General features: G+C 41.8%; 1 long non-coding RNA gene across 1 annotated transcript in view; it reads left to right on the top strand.

Annotated features, from left to right (window-relative positions):
* CIBAR1-DT (CIBAR1 divergent transcript) overlaps positions 1 to 21,886 on the top strand; it is a 353,967-nt gene that overhangs the window by 31,066 nt on the left and 301,015 nt on the right. Inside the window, exons 4-5 of the long non-coding RNA NR_033858.1 lie at positions 5,920 to 6,022; positions 9,789 to 9,941. This is a non-coding gene — a long non-coding RNA (CIBAR1 divergent transcript). The remainder of the gene's footprint in view (positions 1 to 5,919; positions 6,023 to 9,788; positions 9,942 to 21,886) is intronic.

Genomic DNA, 21,886 nt, shown 5'->3' with positions numbered 1-21,886 from the left:
TTGGGTTGGTTCCAAGTCTTTGCTGTTGTGAGTAGTGCCACAATAAACATACATGTGCATGTGTCTTTATAGCAGCATGATTTATAGTCCTTTGGGTATATACCCAGTAATGGGATGGCTGGGTCAAATGGTATTTCTAGTTCTAGATCCCTGAGGAATTGCCACACTGACTTCCACAAGGGTTGAACTAGTTTACAGCCCCACCAACAGTGTGAAAGTGTTCCTATTTCTCCACATCCTTTCCAGCACCTGTTGTTTCCTGACTTTTTAATCATTGCCATTCTAACTGGTGTGAGATGGTATCTCATTGTGGTTTTGATTTGCATTTCTCTGATGGCCAGTGATGATGAGCATTTTTTCATGTGTTTTTTGGCTGCATAAATGTCTTCTTTTGAGAAGTGTCTGTTCATGTCCTTTGCCCACTTTTTGATGGGGTTGTTTGTTTTTTTCTTGTAAATTTGTTTGAGTTCATTGTAGATTCTGGATATTAGCCCTTTGTCAGATGAGTAGGTTGAGAAAATTTTCTCCCATTGTGTAGGTTGCCTGTTCACTCTGATGGTAGTTTCTTTTGCTGTGCAGAAGCTCTTTAGTTTAATTAGATCCCATTTGTCAATTTTGGCTTTGGTTGCCATTGCTTTTGGTGTTTTAGACATGAAGTCCTTGCCCATGCCTATGTCCTGAATGGTAATGCCTAGGTTTTCTTCTAGGGCTTTTATGGTTTTAGGTCTAACGTTTAAGTCTTTAATCCATCTTGAATTAATTTTTGTATAAGGTGTAAGGAAGGGATCCAGTTTCAGCTTTCTACATATGGCTAGCCAGTTTTCCCAGCACCATTTATTAAATAGGGAATCCTTTCCCCATTGCTTGTTTTTCTCAGGTTTGTGAAAGATCAGATAGTTGTAGATACGCGGCGTTATTTCTGAGGGCTCTGTTCTGTTCCATTGATCTATATCTCTGTTTTGGTACCAGTACCATGCTGTTTTGGTTACTGTAGCCTTGTAGTATAGTTTGAAGTCAGGTAGCGTGATGCATCCAGCTTTGTTCTTTTGGCTTAGGATTGACTTGGCGATGCGGGCTCTTTTTTGGCTCCATATGAACTTTAAAGTAGTTTTTTCCAATTCTGTGAAGAAAGTCATTGGTAGCTTGATGGGGATGGCACTGAATCTATAAATTACCTTGGGCAGTATGGCCATTTTCATGATATTGATTCTTCCTACCCATGATAATGGAATGTTCTTCCATTTGTTTGTATCTTCTTTTATTTCATTGAGCAGTGGTTTGTAGTTCTCCTTGAAGAGGTCCTTCACATCCCTTGTAAGTTGGATTCCTAGGTATTTTATTCTCTTTGAAGCAGTTGTGAATGGGAGTTCACTCATGATTTGGCTGTCTGTTTGTCTGCTATTGGTGTATAAGAATGCTTGTGATTTTTGTACATTGATTTTGTATCCTGAGACTTTGCTGAAGTTGCTTATCAGCTTAAGGAGATTTTGGGCTGAGACAATAGGGTTTTCTAGATATACAATCATGTCATCTGCAAAGAGGGACAATTTGACTTCCTCTTTTCCTAATTGAATACCCTTTATTTCCTTCTCCTGCCTAATTGCCCTGGCCAGAACTTCCAACACTATGTTGAATAGGAGTGGTGAGAGAGGGCATCCCTGTCTTGTGCCAGTTTTCAAAGGGAATGCTTCCAGTTTTTGCCCATTCAGTATGATATTGGCTGTGGGTTTGTCATAGATAGCTCTTATTATTCTGAGATATGTCCCATGATATTAATGGAATATCACTCTGATATTTATAATATCCAGGGTTTACACACAGTGTTGACACACTGTGATATTAATGAAATATCGCTCTGATAATTATAATAGCCAGAGTTTACACACAGTATTTACATAATGTGATATTAATGAGATATCACTCAGATATTTATAATATCCGGTGTTTACACACTGTGATATTAATGAAATATCGCTCTGATGATAGTTATCATATCACAGTGTTTACACACTGTGACATTAATGAAATATCAATATCTGTCTGATGATAGTAATCATCACAGTGCTTACACAGAGAGTTTACAAACTGTGATATTAATGAAATATCGCTCTGATATTTATCATATCACAGTGTTTACAGAGAGTTTACACACGGTGATATTAATAAAATATTGCTCTGATGTTTATCATATCACAGTGTGTACCGTGTGTATTTGTGTGTACATATCACAGTGTGTATACACTGTGACATTAATGAAATATTGCTCTGATATTTGTCATATCACAGTATGTACACATTGTGATAGTAATGAAGTATCACTCTGATATTCGTCATTTCACACTGGTTACACAGAGTGTGTACACACTGTGATAGTAATTAATGAACTGTAGCTCTGATATTCATCCTCTGTGTACACGCTGTGATATGATGAATATCATAGCGATATTTCATTCATATCACAGCATGTACACAGAGTGTACACAGACTCAAAATATCGGTCTGATAATCATCATATCACAGTGTGTACACACTGATATTAGTGAAGTATCATAGTGTGTACACACAGTGTGAATGAAATATCGCTCCAATATTCATCATATCACAGTGTTTACAACACTGTAATATTAAAGAAATATCGCTCTGATATTCATCATATCATAGTGTGTACAGAGAGTGGGTACACACTGTGATATTAATGAAACATCACTCGGATATTCATCATATCACAGTGTTTATATACTGTGATATGATAAAAATATCCTTCTGATATTCATATCATATCACAGTGTTTACACACTGTGATACTAATGAAATATCGCTCCAATAGTCATATCATCTCACAGTGTTAACACGGACTGTTTACGAACTGTGAGATGAATGAAAGGAATTCGCTTGGATGTTTATCAGTCATCTCATGGTGTTTACACAGAATGTTTACTCACTGTGATATGAATGAAAGAAGTATCGCTTGGATGTTTATCAATCATCTCACAGTATTTACACAGAGTGTTTACTCACTGTGATATGAATGAAAGAAATATCACTTGGATGTTCATCCGTCATCTCACAGTATTTAAACAGAGTGTTTACTCACTGTGATATGAATGAAAGAAATATTGCTCGGGTGTTTATCAATTATCTCACGGTGATATTAGGAATATCAAAGATATGCTGAATAATATCACAGGTGTACACACAGGGTGTACAATCGCTGTGATATTAGCAGGAGTATCTATCCAAGATATTTTGGCTAATATCATTGAGGGTACACACAAGGTGTACACCCCCGGTGATATTAGCAGAAGTATCTATCCAAGATACTCTGAATAATATCACCGGGGGTGTACACACAGGGTGTACACCCACTGTGATATTAGCAAAAGTATCTATTCAGTATATTCTGACAAATATCACACACTCTGTGTGTACACCCACTGTGATATTAGCAGGAGTATCTATCCAAGATATTCTGACTAATATCACCAGGTGTACACACATGGACACCCACTGTGATATTAGCAGGAGTATCTATCCAAGATATTCTGACTGATATCACTGGGTGTACACACAGGGTGGACAGTCACTGTGTTATTAGCAGGAGTATCAATGCAAGATATTCTGAATAATATCACCGGGTTTACACACAGGGTGAACACCCACTGTGATATTAGCAGGAGTATCTATCCAAGATATTCTGACTAATATCAGTGGGTGTACACCTTGTGTGTACAGATTGTGTGATGTTAGCAAAAATATCTCTCCAGAATATTGTGAATAATATCACAGGGTGTACACACAGGGTTTACACCAACTGTGGTATTAGAAGGAATATCAAAGATATTCTGAATAATATTGCAGTGTGTACACCCACTGTGATATGAGCAGGAATGTCAAAGATATATTCTGCATAATATCATAGGGTGTGCAACCACTATGATATTAGCAGGAATATCAATTTTCTGCATAATATCACAGTGGGTGTACAAACACTGTGATATTAGCAGTAATATCGAATCTATATTCTGCATAATATCACAAGGTGTACACAGAGGGTGTACATCCACTGTGATATTAGCAGGAATATTGAAGATATATTCTTTACACACCGGGTGTGTACAACCAACGTGATATTAACAGGAGTATCAAACATATATTCTGCATAATATCACAGAGTGTACAACCACAGTGATATTAGCAGGAATATTGAAGGTATATTCGGCATAATACCACCTGGTGTACACCCACTGTGACATTAGCAGAAATATCAAAGATATATTCTGCATAAAATCATGGAGTGTACATCCACTGTGACATCAGCAGGAATATTGAAGATATATTCTGAATAATACCACAGGCTGTACACCCACTGCAATATTAGCAGGAATGTGAGAGATGTATTCTGCATAGTATCACAGGGTGTACACCCACTGTGATATTAGAAGGAATATGGATGATACATTCTGCATATTACAGATATGATACATCCATATTAGCAGGAATATGGATGATATTAGCAAGAATATCAAAAATATATTCTGCATAATATCACCCAGTATACACACAGGGTGTACATCCACAGTTCCATTAGGAGGAATATCAAAGATATATTCTGCATAATATCAAAGGGTGTACATCCACTGTAATATTAGCAGGAATATCAGAAATATATTCTGCATAATATCAGAGGGTGTACACCCACTGTGATGTTAGCAGGAATATCAGAGATGTATTCTGCATAATGTCACAGGGTGTACATCCACTGTGATGTTAGCAGAAATATCAAAGACATATTCTGCATAATATCACAGGGTGTACATCCACTGTAATATTCGCAGGAATATTGGAGATGTATTCTGCATAATATCACAGGCTGTGCACCCACTGTGATGTTAGCAGGAATATCAAAGGTGTATTCTGCATTATATCACAGGGTGTGCACCCCCTATAATATTAGTAGGAGTATCGAAGATATATTCTGCATAATATCACAAGGTGTACACAGAGGGTGTACATCCACTGTGATATTAGCAGGAATATCGAAGATATATTCTACATAACATCACAGGGTTTACACAAACTGTGATATTAGCAGGAATATCGAAGATACATTCTGTATAATATCACCGAGTTCACACACAGGGTGTACACCCATTGTCATATTAGCAGGAATATCAAAGATACATTCTGCATAACATCGCAGGGTGTACATCCACTGTAATACTGGCAGGAATATTGAAGATATATTCTGGATAATGTCACGGGGTGTACACCCAAGCTGACGTTAGCATGAATATCAAAGATATATTCTGCATAATATCATAGGGTGCACACACACTGTATACACCCACTGTGATATTAGCAGGAATATCGAAGATATATTCTGTGTAATATCACAGGGTGTAAACCCACTGTGATATTAGCAGGAAAATCGAAGATACAGTTTGCATAATATCACAGGGTGTACACCCACTGTGATATTAGCAGAAATATCAAAAATATATTCTGCTAAATATCACAGGATGTACACCCATTGTGATATTAGCAGGAATATTGAAGATATATCCTGCATAATATCACAGGGGGTACATACACTGTGATATTAGCAGGAATATCAGAGATGTATTCTGCGTAATATCACAGGGTGTACACCCACTGTGATGTTAGCAGGAATATTGAAGATATTTTCCAATGAGAGAAGGGTATAATGAATTCCAAAGGGAGGAGGGATAATGAGTCATGTTTGACTCCCACTTTTCATCATGGCCTGGACTAGTTTTTCAAGTTAACTTTGGAATGTCCTTGGCCAAAAGGAGGGGTTCATTTAGATGGATGGGGTGCTTAGAGTTTTATTTTTTGTTTACATTGGCTAGTGTGTTTCTTGACTATTCAATTTGTTCCAAGAGGCACATCTATTGGCAGGTTCTTTCAAACTGGGAAAGCTCATTAAAAGAAAAATGAGAAAATCTATTGGCTGGATCCTGAACCCTTGGAAGCTCTGTCTGGATACATTCTTCTCTGGCAGGTGAGTAAAGGTGAGGTACAAATTGATTGCTATTGGGAGAGAAAAAAAAGGTTCTATTTAGTGCAATAAGGTCTTAGCTTCCAACCACTCTATGGAACCCCTGGGCCTGGTGGCCTGGGTATAACTAGATGGGACCAGAAGAGTATCATCTTATGAGCCTTAAGGAGTAGCTAACTACCCTCTATCTTTCCCTTAATTACTGGTCCAGAAACTGTTATTCTATCACAGAGTTCCTCAACCTGGGAACTGTTGACAGATAATTCTCCATGGGGCATGCTGTTCTGTATATTGTAAGACATTGGCCAGGTGCACCTTTAATCCCAGCACTTTGGAAGGCTAAAGCAGGAGTATCACTTGAGCCCAGGAGTTTGAGACCAGCCTGGGCACCATAGGAAGACCCTGTCTCTGTTAAATAATAAAATGATACATTATAAAATTATAAAACTGTACACTGTAGGACATTTAGCAGCATATGTGGCCTCAACCCATTAGCAATCCCCTTTTACCTCCCCAGTGTCAAGTCATGGATACCAAAGAAGTCTCCAGACATTGTCAGTGTCCCCCTTGGGGCAAAGTTGCCCATGGATGAGAGTCACTGATCTACCATGACCCAGAACAGTCAAGGAAAGGAAAATGCAGGAAAAAGTGAGGGGAAGACCCTGGATGTCTTACAGCCCAGAACAGAGTGGACCTAAGATACTGGCCTCTAGTTAAGAGAGTCTTTTCATGAAGAATGAGGCCTTAGGTCCAGAGTAGAAGAAACACCAAAGCACATTTGCTGAATAAACAGATAAACATTTTTAGGTTGATCTCAAAACTCCAGAAGACAAGAAACCTTGTGTGTTCTTTTTTTTTTTTTTTTTTTTTTTTGAGACGGAGTCTTGCTCTGTCGCCCAGGCTGGAGTGCAGTGGCGCTATCTCGGCTCACTGCAAGCTCCGCCTCCCAGGTTCATGTCATTCTCCTGCCTCAGCCTCCCGAGTAGCTGGGACTACAGGTGCCCGCCACCACGCCTGGCTAATTTTTTTGTATTTCTAGTAGAGATGGGGTTTCACCGTGTTAGCCAGGATGGTCTCGATCTCCTAACCTCGTGATCCACCTGTCTCAGCCTCCCAAAGTGCTGGGACCACAGGCGAGAGCCACCGTGCCTGGCCTCCTTGTCTATTCTTTATTCTTTTTTAAGATGGAGTCTCGCTCTGTTGCCCAGGCTGGAGTGCAGTGGCATGATCTCAGCTCACTGCAGCCTCCACCTCCTGGGTCCAAGCGATTCTCCTGCCTCAGCGTCCCAGGTAGCTGGGATTACAGGTGCACACCACCACACCCAACTCATTTTTGCATTTTTAGTAGAGACGGGGTTTCACCATGTTGGCCAGGCTGGTCTTAAGCTGCTGAGCTCAAGTGATCCACCCGTCTCAGTCTCCCAAAGTGCTGGGATTACAGGCATGAGCCACCATGCCTGGCTGAAACCTTGTTTGTTATTTTTTTTTGTTCGTTTGTTTGTTTGTTGTTGTTGTTGTTGTTGTTTTGAGATGGAATCTCGCTCTGTCGCCCAGGCTGGAGTGCAGTGGCGCGATCTTGGCTCACTGCAAGCTCCACCTCCTGGGTTCAAGCCATTCTCCTGCCTCAGCCTCCCAAATAGCTGGGACTACGGGCACCTGCCACCATGCCCAGATAACTTTTTGTATTTTTTGTAGAGACAGGGTTTCATGACCCCATCATGATGGTCTCGTTATCCTGATCTCATGATCCACTCGCTTCAGCCTCCCGAAGTGCTGGGATTACAGGTGTGAGCCACCGTGCCCGGCCCCTTGTTTGTTCTTGATATCTGCTTTTAACCCTGATGCTACTGTGTGGAAGATTTTAAGTAAATATTTGCTAAATTGAATATTCATTCTGTGCTCAGTATGTTAGGCCATTACTCTAAGTGTTTTACACATGTTAACTCAGTTAATCTTCACAGCTACCTATGTGGCATTGTATTAGGCCATTATTGCTATAAATAAATATCTGAAACTAGGTAATTTCTAAGAAAAGAGGTTTAATTGGCTCATGGTTCTGCAGACTTGATGGGAAGCCTGGTGCTGGCATTTGCTCAGATTCTGGGGAGGCCCCAGGGAGCTTTTATTCATGGCAGAAGGTGAAGGGGGAGCAGGCACGGCTTATGGTGAAAGCAGGAACAAAAGAGGGTCAGGGGAGGTGCCACACATTTTCAAACAACCAGATCTTGCAACTCACTATTGCAAGGACAGCACCAAACCATAAGGGACCATCTGCCCCCATGACCCAAACACCTCTCACCAGGCCATACCTCCAACATTGGGGATTACATTTCAACATGAGATTTAGAAGGGACACAAATCCAAACTGGATGGGGTGGGTCCCACTGTTATCTCCATTTTGCAAAAAGAGAAATAGCAACACAAAATGATTCATGGAAATCACTGACTTGTCACTATATTATCTAAAAAATGTCCACTGGCTGATCTTTAAGGCAAGACTTTCCCATAAATTCTGCTTTGGGGACTGTTTGAGGGAAAGATACGTGTCTTTCCTCCTGCTAACCTCCCATCTTCTTGGAGGAGTTCCGTACTCCTTAGGTCTGGTGCAGGAAGTAGGTTCCAGCAGCCTGTATGTTGCAATTCCTTCTACCAGCTGAAGGACTGAGGAGTATGTCTGCATGAAGTTGGCTGAGTCTCCATGGCCTTTATTTAGGGATGTGGAGTCTCCCACTACATAGTTCCATCAACTGGCCAAACTCAACTCTATCCAGGACAGTGTATTAGTCCATTCTCACACTGCTAATAAAGATATACCCACGACTGGGTAATTTATAAAGAAAGAGAGGTTTAATGGACTCACAGTTCCACGTGGCAGGGGAGGCTCCACAATCATGGTGGAAGGTGAAGGAGGAGCAAAGACACGTCTTACATGGCTGCACGCAAGAGAGCGTGTGCAGAGGAACTGCTCTTTATAAAACCATCAGATCTCTTGAGGCTTATTTACTATCACAAGAACAGCATGGCAAAAACCCGCCCCCAAGATTCAATTACCTCCAACCAGGTCCCTCCCACTACACATGGGGATTATGGGAACTACAATTCAAGATGAGATTTGAATGGGGACACAGCCAAACTGTATCAGACAGGACCATCTCCTAACTTCACTGTAAACTATAAATCCCACTCCAAATATGGAAGACCAGCCCAGGAAGAGAAACACAGGAGCAAAGGCTACTGTCCTCCAATTCTGGGTCATACTGTTCTGCAGAAAGGAGGAGACTTCTATCAATTAACCAGATAGGATACCATCTGTGGACAACTCCTATCTCCAACACCTCCAAGCAAATATCTACTCAGGATCTTCCACACAGTAGCATCTGCCAAAAGATATATATATATATGTAAAGTAGAAGGTCTAATGTCTCTAAAAACAAATGAGTGGTGGCCCTCAGGTGTCTTGAAAATGCTGTGCTTTCACCTGCACACCTTGATATCTAAAGGGACAGAAGCCTAGGGCTGCTGAGTAGCTCTGGCAGGATTTGCTGTGTACCAGCCATAAAGACAAAACCAAGATAATTAGTGAGATTTATGGTTTCAAGACCTTTTAAACTTAAGCTGTTTATTCCTAGGATCTGAGTATCTCTATAAAGAATTTCAGTCTCATAAAATAAGCTGCTTTGGTCTGCTGGCATGATTTCATGTTCAGCCTCCCAGAATCATAAACCAAATTTTCTTCCACCTGTGTGCAATGTTCTGTTTCCATCTCTAGGATGCTCTATGTGGCTCTTTCCATGTGTAGTTTCCAATGAAACAGGAAGGACTCTAATTGAGTGCCTGCCCACATCTCTACAGCTCCACACCTTCCACTAAGGGCACAATAAGACCTCCACTGTGAGAGGCTCCACAGTGTACTACGTTGGTGGTGAGAAAAGGATTGGGGGAGAGGGGAGGAGAAGAACAGGGAAAGAAAAGCAGTGGTTGGAAGTCAGGCTTCGATTCTTTACAGGAAAACATGGTTATGGCTGTCAATAATGGAATGAGCCACTGGGAGAAGTGTGATCCTCTCCCATTGGTTGCCTGGAGAAGGAATGGGGAAAATTATTATTATTGTTTATATTAATTGTTAACATAAAGGAGCATTAGGAAATTTTGGGGGGTTCACTTTTTTTTTAGATGGAGTCTTGCTATGTTGCCCAGGCTGGTCTTGAATTCATGAGCTCAAGTGACCCTCCCACCTCAGCCTCCTGAGTAGCTGGGATTATGAGCACACACCATCGTGCCTGGCCAATGGTTCACAATCTTGATTTTCGTAATGGCTTCATAGGTGTATACATAGGCTGAAATTTATCAGGTTGTATACTTAAAAAATGCGAATTTCCCACATGTTAATCATATCTCAATAAAGCTGTTCCCCTTACTTAGATTCTTGCAATAATACACTGGCCTTGTGGCCAACTGCAGAAAAGAATGGCCACTGTGTCTTTTCTTTCCTATATCCAAGCCCCTTCCATGTAGCTGAGGGCCCTTTCACCTTGGGCTCACCCATGATTGCACTGGCTGATGGGGTGTAGGCAAACCCAATACAATGGTACCCTCCAGCAATGTGTGAACAGGCCTAACCTGGATGGCTGGGGAATGAGACATTGAGTGAAGAACAATAAACCCCATCCTACCTAGAAACTGACTGCAGAAGCCAGTCAAGAGAACTCTCAGGCCAAGCACAGCCTAAAATGTCAAGCAACAAACCCTAAATAAATGGTGGTGGGGTGTTGTTGTTGTTTGAGAGGCAGGGTTTTGCCATGTTGCCCAGGCTGGTCTTGAACTCCTAGACTCAAGTGATCCTCACGCCTGGCCTCCAAAAATGGTGGGATTATAGGCATGAGCCACTGAGCCCAGTCTGGTGGTTGTTTTAAACTACTATGTTTGGGGTGGCTATGAAACAAAACCTCATAGAAACAGGACCCTTCATTCTGTTCCCCAATTGGGAACCAGTTACTTTGCTCAATTGCAAATTTCATCAAATGTCAATTGATTTTCATCAATTTCCAACTAACACTTAAATTGAAACTGATAGACTAACATATTGATGTATGTGTGTGGGCTAGGCACAGTGGCTCATGACTAATCCCAGCACTTTGGGAGGCTGAGGTGGGAGGATTGCTTGAGCCCAGGAGTTTGAGACTAGCCTGGGCCACATAATAAGACCCTGTCTCTACAAAAATAAAAAACAGAATTAGTCAGGCATGGTGGCGTGTGCATATAGTCCAAGTACTTGAGAGGCTGAGGTTGGAGGATTGCTTAAGCCCAGGAGGTTGAGGTTGCAGAGAGCTATGATCATGCCACTGCACTCCAATCTGGGCGACAGAATGAGACTGTCTTAAAAAAAAAAAAGAGAAAAGAAAAAGGATATGTGTGTGTTCTACAATCTGTCCCATATTACCCTTCAAGCCTGCCTCCTACTCCAAAGATTGTCTTTTATCTACAGAATGTAACATACTGTCATTTTTTCCTGCGCCTTTGCGCTCAGGATTAGCATGCTTATTTGATTCTACTCCTGAACTCTTACTAAGCCTTCTACACTTAGCTTGTATCATTTCTTCTACTTAGATTTTCTTTATGGTCCAAGTTCAACATCCTCCCCATTTGGGGCCTCCCAAATGGATTCACCTGCCATAATAGGTATCCTATTTACTGTTGATATCCCTCTTCTCCTAGACCTTTACTCCCTTAAAGGCAGGACTATGTCTTATTGATCTTTCTTCCCAAAACCTAATTAAAAGTGGAGGGCAGTTAGCTGATATTCATTGGGTGTATATAGTAGGTTCCCTAGCAGGGAAGAATTCCTGAGTGGATTGGATGTTACCCAAATGTTACACAAGACAGAGATGGTCCCTGCTGGAGAGGCTCCAAGAACTGAAAACAAGACTCAGACAAGAAGACTGTGTTCCTGTAATTAGAAGTTCCCTCCAGAAACTGTGTGATACTCTGTCTATTCTGAGAATTGGCAGGGAAGTGCAGTGAGATCCAACAGTCATGGGTCACTTAGGTTGTACATGGAATTCATTATTGTGATGGAGAAATTGGGCATAGAGGGAATAGTTATGCTGGATTCCCAAGGCTCATTTAAAAAATGGCCGATTTTACTCAATGCTGAGAGAAATTTTACTCAATGCATTTTACTCAATGCTGAGAGAAAGTACGCTCTTCCCTTTGGGCCTGGCCTCTAGGGTACACATTCTTTTTTTTCAAACCCAGCAACACCCAGTGAATAATTGCTATTTCTTCACTAATGAGCCTAGTGACCAAGTCTCGCTGAACATTCAGCATTTTCACTCAGGGATGTAAATTGCCCTTACTACACACCCAAAGTCCTGCATGGAAGCACTGCAAGGGGGAAAGGAAGGGATTTCAGGAAGCCAAATGGAAGACTGTGAGCCCCTCTGTCATGAGCTCTGAGCCCAACAGAACTACTGGTTGATGCAGGCATGAAAGGGGTCAAGAGGTGAAACGAGGGCTGAATGTCACAGTAAGAAATTGATACTGGTCCCAGTTTCCAGCTGGTAAGTTGACTGTTTGCATCTATCTCTTTCTCTGCAGAAAATAAATGACTATCCCCCAGTGTTGCTGGGAAGACTGGTAGAGCTATGTGAAAAGAGCTCCAATCCACCATCTTCTTGGATGAGGTGGAGAAAAATTATAACCAATGTTAGGTCAAAATAACTGTCAAGGTCCAAGGCTGGAACTTCTGTCTCTAGGAAGCAAATTGATTGATTTAGATTCTTGAGGAGTAGCTAGATCAGGTTAACAATCAGTTTTTAGGCTTGGCATGGTGGCTCACGCCTGTAATCCCAGCACTTTGGGAGGCCAAGGTGGGCAGATCACTTAAGGCCAGGAGTTCGAGACCAGCCTGGCCAACATGGCAAAACCCTGTCTCTACTAAACATACAAAAAAATTAGCTGGGCGTGATGGCGCGTGCCTGTAATCTCAGCTACTCCGGAGGCTGAGGCAGGAGAATTGCTTGAGCCCAGGAGGCAGAGGTTGCAGTGAGCTGGGATAATGCTACTGCACTCCAGCCTGGGTGACAGAGCAGGACTCTGTCTCAAAATAATAATAATTAATAATAATAATAATCAGCTTTTATTCTGAACTCAGAAAAGTAGCAGTGGGCTAGTTAAAGACAAATCAAGGAACTCATGTTGCTTAAATGGAAGGATTTTCTTGGGCAAAAGATTAAGATCTTGGAGGCCAAACCAGATAGAAGTGAGTGGACTGGAAGAAAATGCAGATCCAACTGCCTTTAAAAACAAAAATAACCATCAAGTTTTGACAAGCATTTTTCAAATCTTGCAACCTGAAAGTTGCAAGTGAGAGAAACAGGGTCTCATGGAGCAAACAGAAATTGCTCTTGTCATGACAGAAAGAAATGCTTGGGTGATTCCTCAGTAAGGATTCCCAGCCCTCGTCTGTTTTAGGAGAAACTGAAATATACAGGAAAGCTGCCTCTTGAGAATTTCTGGGATGATTTTGTCTCCTAAAAAGCTAAAGTGACCAAAAATGAGTATATGCTGTACACTGTACAAATTTAATGGGTCAATCCCATCTGTCTATACTCCTATTCAACTTTACTCTTCCTCATAGCATTTATTCTTGCCAGTATTTACTTTTCTTCCTAGTGTTTATATATTTGCTTGTACTCTGGCTCCAAAGTTTAACGTCAAGAATCCTATGAATGTGATCTGTTTTGTGTACTGCTGCATTGCCAAAGCCTATGAATACCTGGACGAGAAAGTCATCAGTTAATTCCCAGTATTTATGGGAATGTAGTATGACACCGGTGGCATTTTAATGTAGCTGTTAAAAGTCGTTGTTTCGTAAGTGATGGAGGCAAATGGGTTATCCATTCTGATGAGGTCTCTAAGTACAACATACTCTGCAGCCACACTGAGAACAACTCTTAGACCTTCTGAAGAAACACAATACCCTCACACTCACAGTTTCAAAGGGACTAGGGATCTCCGGTCTAGAAAACCCAAATCCATGCTTAGACACACACTTAACAGTCCCCCAAGGGTTTTTATAAAGAAGAAAGCACAATACATAAATATTTTGGAAGTAAACTGCCTAACTACAAACCCTTGGCCTCTCTACTCCAAACTCCAAACCTAGGTCCCAGGACACAAATATTAAGAATGTGTTCACTCAGGATGTTCACTCATGGATGTGTTCACTCAGGTGAGGAATGATGCCCACAATGGCCAATATGCACAGAATAAGAATGTAAGGCCAGGTGCGGTGGTTCACACCTGTAATCCCAGCACTTGAGGCCAAAGTGGTAGGATCACTTGAGGTCAGGAGTTAGAGACCAGCCTGGCCAACATGGTGAAACACTGTCTCTACTAAAAATACAAAAATTAGCTTGGTATGGTGGTGCACACTTGTAATCCCAACTACTTTGGAGGCTGAGGCAGGAGAATCTCTTGAACCCAGGAAGTGGAAGTTGCAGTGAGCTGAGATCATGCCATTGCACTCCAGCCTAGGCAACAGAGCCAGACCCTGTCTCCAAAAAAAAAAACAAAACCAAACAAACAAAAGTAAAACCACTTAGCTAAGGAAGCTCGAAAATGAAAATGTGAAAATGGGAGAGGGCAGAAGGCTATTGGAGAGGGAGTCTGAGGCCCGCAGAAGAACCAATCATATAAGGAAGAACATTAAGGAATAAATCTGTCCTTAAAGTCAAAGTCAGAGTCCACCACTTGCAGGCTCCCACCCTGGAGACACACTACATCTTGTTTGTGCTGAACTGCAGCAGCTGCCTCTCCACGTGTCAGAAAGAGGGCTGAACAGACCATGTGAGGACATGGACACCATCTCCAGCAACACAGGGGTCCAGGGTCTTCAAAGCCATGAGGTCCCCAACGGCCATCCAGGCTCAATCTCAGTCTCTCTGTCATGGAGCTTGGATTCCTATGCAATTGGGTTCTGCTTGCAGCAGAAGGTGGTTTGAAGACAACCTTTTTTTTTGAGACGGAGTCTTGCTCTGTTGCCCAGACTGGAGTCACTAAATGGATTCGACAGATGAAAAGGACAGAAGAGCTAGTGAACTTTAAGATATGTCAGTAGAAGTCATACAAACTGGAAAACAAACACATCAGAAGAATGAAACAGGAATCTCAAGAGTCCTGTGGCACAACTGGAGTCCCAAAAAGAGAAAATGAGGAAGAAAACAATTTATGAAAATTCATGAGAATTGAAAGCAGGAACTCAAACAGACACTTGCAAACTAATGTCCATATTGTAGGGGCAACAAAATTTCACCTACATCATCTTAGGATCCTAGCTGGGCCCAAGAATTAAACTGACATATGATTAGGTTAACAAGATAAAAGCATATACATTTATGTGTTGTTTGTCACTGGCTGCCCTTTAGATAATTATCTTGAGTTTTCAACAGTTTGACAAACAACACATTACATACAGGGGGTATTGTTAAGAATAATGCTAACGTTTAGTCAGAAACAATGGGGGCCAGAAGACAAAGATATGACCTCTTTAAAGCATATCCAGGCTGCTTGCGGTGGCTCATCGCTGTAACCCCAGCACTTTGGGAGTCTGAGGCAGGCAGATCATCTGGGGTCAGGAGTTTGAGACCAGCCTGGCTAACCTGGTGAAATCTCGTCTCTACTAAAAATACAAACATTAGCTGGGTGTGGTGGTGCATGCCTGTAATCCTAGCTACTCAGGTGGCTGAGGCACAAGAATCATTTGAACCTGGGAGGTGGAGGTTGCAGTGAACCAAGATCATGCCACGGCACTCCAGCCTGTGTGACAGAGACTCTGTCTCAAAAAATAAAATAAAATAAAATAAAATAAAATAAATAAAAAAGCATATCCAGCCAAAGTATTTTCAAAAACTAAGGTGAGGAGACTTCCAGGTAACTAAAAACAATGGCCACTGAGTGGTAAGCAACCTCCCCAAATCTCCTCTTAAATGCTATGAAGTAACTCCACAATGAATCTTCTGCAAAAAACTATACCTTCAACACTGCCTTTAAGACAGAGAGAATGCCAAAATTGCAAAATAACTATGAGTAAAATGAGATAAAGCATGAAATCTCAGCACCACGGTTCCACACATGCCCATCCCAAGGCTCTGTGAGGTAAACTGCAAGAAAGAGGGAGAGCTGGTGGGGGGCCTGAGACAGAGCTGGAGCAAGACCCTCTAACTGATCTACCCTTAATTTGAAAATGCAAAAAAACAAAACAAAAAAACCCTGGCCAATCATAGGAGAACTGAGGAAACGGACTTAAAACTATGTGTCATTTATAGGCCGGAGCAACTGTGTGTCTCACACTGCTAATAAAGACATGCCCAAGACTTTATAAAGAGGCTTAATGGACTTACAGTTCCATATGGCTTGGGAGGCCTCACAATCATGGTGGAAGGCGAATGAGGAGTAAAGTTATGTTTTACATGGCAGCAGGTGAATGAGGAACAAAGTTACGTCTTACATGGTGGCAGGCAGGAGAGTTTGTGCAGGGGAACTCCCCTTTTCAAACCATCAGATTTCGTTAGACTTACTTATCACAAGAACAGCACAGGAAAGACCCGCCCCCATGATTCAATTACCTCCCACTGGGTCCCTCCCACAACACATGGGAGTTGTGAGAGCTCAATTCAAGATGAGACTTGGGTGGGGACACAGCCAAACCGTATCAAACAGTCTTCTAAACACAAGGCTTCTGGAAGACAGAAACGAAGGGAGAGGGATCCTTTGGCAATTGGGTGGTGAAGGAAAAAGAAAATTTTACAGTCTTCCAAGACAAACACCAAATTGAAAGACTCATAACCACTCTCCTACCTTTCTTGAGTTTTCCCTCCAGGAACCCAACTAGGTTCTTACTGTGAAGATTGACCTGGGGGAGGAAAGAGTATTTCTGATTTATACCCAGAACATTCTGTTCTTGGTAAGGTCTGCCCTCAAGGGAAACGATGTTGCCAGAGACTAAACTACTGGGGTTTTAACAAAACCTAACTGACCTAGGGGAAGAGAAATATCCAATTCAGGCTCACTAAAGACTGAGACTTACTCCTGGTATTATAGACACTTCACTCTCTGCACTGTAACCACCACATCAGTAGGGCTCCCGTATATTAATAGGACTACAGTTAGAAGCATTGCAAGCCTTAGCTCCTATTTCAAGTCTCTAGGAAAACTGAAAGACAACAGAAGGAATAAGAGTAAAGACACTAGAGGAAATTTTAGCCTCTGACACCATCACTACAGCAAGCAGTAAACAGAGGCTAACTTCTAGCCAGAACAACCACAGTGAAGGCCTTTTTTACTGCTGTTCCTACCACCGAATGCACCATGCCCGGCTTTCAATAACAAGCTATGAGGCACATTAAAAGGCAAGGAAACACATAAGTCTAAGCCAACAGAGAAAGCATTAGAACTAGCCTCAGATATGGCAGAGATTGTGCAATCATCAGATTGGGAGTTTAAAATAACTATGGTTAATATACTAAGGGTTCTAACGGAAAAAGTGGACAACACGCAAGAACAGATGGGTAATCTAAGTGTGGTAGGAGACAGGCAGGGCTTATTTCCTAGTCTAGACAGAATGAAATAAAGAAAGTGGCAGAACCAGCAAATGGTGCTGAAGGATACTCCAGGTGCGCTCACTGCTCATCAGTGTAAGACACTTACACCAGCGCCATGACAATTTACGACTGCCATGGCAAACCCAGAAGTTACCACTCCTTTTCTAGAGCTATCTGAATAGCCCATCCCTTAATTTGCATGTAATTAAAAGTGGGTATAAATACTGTTATCCAATAGCCCAAATGCTGCTACTCTGGGCACACTGCCTATGAGTAACCCCTGCTCCACAAGGGGCAGCTATTCCGCTGTGCCCTGCTGTTTCAATAAACCCAATTTCTTTTACTACCGCTGGCTCTTGAATTCTTTCCTGAGCAAAGCCGAGAACCACCTGGGCTAATCCCCAGTTTGGGGGCTTATCTGCCCTGCATTATCAGCAGAAAAATGGAAACTCAAAGAATCAGAAGGAAATATTAGAAATCAAAGCCACCATAAGAGAAATGGAAGAATGCCTTTGATAGGCTAATCATCTGAACATGGCCAAAGAATCAGTGAACATGAAGAGACATGCCACAGAGTAGGAGAAAATATCTACAAAACATATATCCACCCAGTGGGCTCACACGTATATAAATCAATAAGACAAGGAAGGCAACGTGAGTATCTTCTTGTCTAACTGCACAGAATAGTTTGTTAGAATATAAACTGTAGAAAACTGGCAGTATCCACTGAAAATGAACAAATGCGTATCATATGACCCAGCAATTTCTGTCCAAGGTATGCACCAAGATAAGTACACACACCATGCACAACCAGAAATATTAAAATGTGCTCATAGCAGTATTAATCACAATAACCCCAAACTGCAAAGTTCAATGGTCATGAATATAAGATGCTTAAATGAATTGTGGAATATTCAAACAAAGGAACAGAATAAAATGTACTAGTTAGAGATACGGGAAACAATACTAATCATTTCACAAAAATATTGGAAAAATTAAGATGGACAAAAGAACAAAAGAAAGAATGCATACTGTCTGGCTGCATTTGCACAGGGCTCAAAACAAAAAGTCAAACCATACTGTCAGAGTCGGAATACTGGTTACCTACAGAGTAGAGAAGAGTGTGTAATTTGGAGGAAAAAAGAGGAGTTATCTGAAATACTGGTAATATTCTTTCTTGACCTGGTGGTTAGGTGGAAGTGTTCGTGTGATAACTGGTTTGTTCACTTACGAATTAAGCACATTTCTATATGTATGTTACATTTCAATAAAACCTGTTTTCAAAAACACAGACACACACGGTATTATTACACGACCACTGTAGAAATGACTTTGGCATTATACTGATAAGATGAACACGCAGAGACCTTACAACCCAGCAACCTCGCACTCCTGGAAAAACGTACTAGTGCTCCGGAAGGCATGTACACCTTACAGCACCACTGTTCGTAATTGGGAAAAATGGGAAAAACCGACTGTTCATTAGCAGTACAAAGCATAATAGTGGGATAACGATAAAATTATTACTGTCTGGAAGTTAAAATGAAACTCCGACTATATTCATCAATGTGACTCTCAAACCACTCCTCCTACTACTTAATCTGGCTGCCATTACATTTCACTTGAATTCTCCAATGACCTTCTAACTGGTTTCTGTTCATATCTCATCCCTCTTTAGCTTATCAACCCAGAAGCCACTGTGATCCTTTTGAAAACTGAAATTGGATAGTTGTCATTCTTCTGTTCAAGATCTAGTTAACCAGCTAGATGCCCTTCTGAACAGTCTGTGATACAGCTTTGACATCATCATCCTCTTACGATGCCCAAGCTTGCCTCACTCCACCACACCAACACCTCTGCTATTGCACGGCTTCCCCAAGCACAATTCTTCTTCATGGCCTTTGATCTGCCAAGGGTGCTCTTCCTGAGATTAAGGGCACATGCTTGCAGTTCCCTGACATCTCTGTTTAAATGCAAGTCTTTCCCTACCCACCCTATAGCTTCCTTCAACCTACATGCTCCCTCCATAGTTGTTTCCATTGCATTTAACACCACATGATACACAATATGTTTACTGGTTTGTTTATCGGGTGCCCCAGCCCCAAGCACCACCAGGGCAAAAATATGGAATCTCTGCATAGACCCTGGACACCACAGAGCAGTGTCTGTGCTGGGCATAAAGGAGGTATAAGCTCCGGAGCCAGACACCAGGGTTCAAAGGCAAACACTGCTACCAGCTAACAGGCTAACCTCAGACAAGTAAATCTCAGCTTTCATGCCTCAGATTCCCCATATGCAAAACAGAGATGCTGACCGTACCTGTCTCCATGCGCTTTTGTGAAAACCAATATACCATGATCAATAAGTCAAGAAAATATAAAGATATATCAAAGACCTGAAATACAATGTCAAAGATTGGTTTAAACAAATGAAAAAACCTATATCCTACAATTAAAAGTATACGTGTTGTGCCCACACATTTAGCTACTAGTTATAAAACTCATCAATGACCAGGTGTATGGGCTCCAGGCAGCATCCAGCTGGGTGTAGAGCCCCCCTCCCACCAATAAATAAATTAAATAGAAAAGCTGGGTGTGGTGGCACATGCCTGTATTCTCAGCTATTTAGGAGGCTGAGGCAGGAAGACTGTTTGAGCCCAGGAGTTTGAGTCTGGCCTAGGCAACATAGTGAGATCCCCATCTCAAAATACACAAATTTAAAAGAAAAACTATGAAATAGCCATAGCAGCTTAAACCCATAATCAGTTTTATTTTTTCTCATGTGATAGGACGTCTGGAAGTAACAAGTCCAGGGCTGGTGCAGACACTCAAAGAAACCACAGGGTAGGCCAGGGTAGCTGTGGGCTTTCTGCAGTCACTTCCTTAGACTGTGGCTTTCATCCGCATGGTCATAAGGTGGATCTTCCAATACTAGGTACCGAATCTCCTTGCAAGGTGAGAAGTAGGGGGTAAAGCAAAGAGCAAAACATACAGGGAAGAATTCAGGTTTAAGAATGACCCCTGTTCAAGAACTTTCTCAGAAGCCCATGCAGCGAATCTGCTGATTTGTCACTGGCCAGGGTTGTGGGACATGGATGGTCCTAGTTGCAAGAAAACCTGTAAGAGATTTTTTAAAAATAGCACACTTTACTAATCTGACAGAACCTGGATTTTCTTGATATGGGAAGAAGATGAGAGTGGACACTGGGGAAGCCACTAGAAGTATCTGCCACTCTTGGCTGGACAGCAGGCTGCAAACATACCACCACTTGATGGAGACATCATGCTCTGGTCACAATGCGTGTAAATTAGGTGCCAGTAACAAACCAGTACTGAGAAATACCCACATGTCACATGGATCTAAATACGTGATTGGTCAAGTAGGTTGTCCAAAAGGCAATTAGGACGTTATCAAGGATGAAGCTATAGTAAAAATACTATATATAAACCTTTTGTGATGAGGCTTTAGGGTTATTTAGAGGAGTGTAACCTTAAAAATAAAGATGAAAAATTTATGAGCGGGGGTCTGTTTTCATGATGAGAGAATAAGTGCAATCCCGTATTCACACGAATATCCTGTTGGGGTTCTCCCCCAGGGAGAATATTCACATGCACAAGTGAGGGGACCATGGCTGGAATCATTTCCACATAGGAATTATCAGCACTGATTGTATTTTAAAGGTTTTGTAAAAGAAATTTCTCCTAGTGTAACTGCTCAGAAGATTCAGAAAACTGAGGAATTGTTGCAGGAAATAATTGAGGAATGACTGCATGATTATTTTCAACCTCAGCAACAGTGACGTTTAGGGGCACATAACTCTTTGTTGTGGGGGGCTCCTGTGCACTGGAGGGTACTCAGCAGCATCCCTGATGTCTTCCTACTACAAGTCAGGAGCATCTTCTCCCAGTTCTAACACCAAAAATGTCTCCAGACATTGCCAAATGACACCTGGACAGAAAAATCACGGCCTGCCTGAGGACCCCTGCTGTAGACAAAGGGTCAGCCAAGTTTCTCTGGAAAGGGACAGATGACAGGAAGTATTTCAGACTTCGTTGGCCATATATGTTCTCTATCACACTTTCTTCCTCTTTAAAGATGAACCAACTATTGTTAGCTTGCAAACCATGCCACAGACAGCCAGCCATGGTTTGCGGACCTCTTCATGACCTTCCCACATTCCCTATTTCACTGATTTCTCTCTTTAGTGTGATTTCTGTCATGAGGAATCGAGTGAGACCAGGAAGGGTTTCCCCAGCCACTGCAT

This window comes from Homo sapiens, chromosome 8 (genome assembly GCF_000001405.40).
Source record: "Homo sapiens chromosome 8, GRCh38.p14 Primary Assembly".
Classification (NCBI taxonomy): Eukaryota; Metazoa; Chordata; class Mammalia; order Primates; family Hominidae; genus Homo; species Homo sapiens.
The sequence above is the reverse complement of the archived record's forward strand: the minus strand, read 5'-3'. Positions and strand labels throughout refer to the sequence as shown.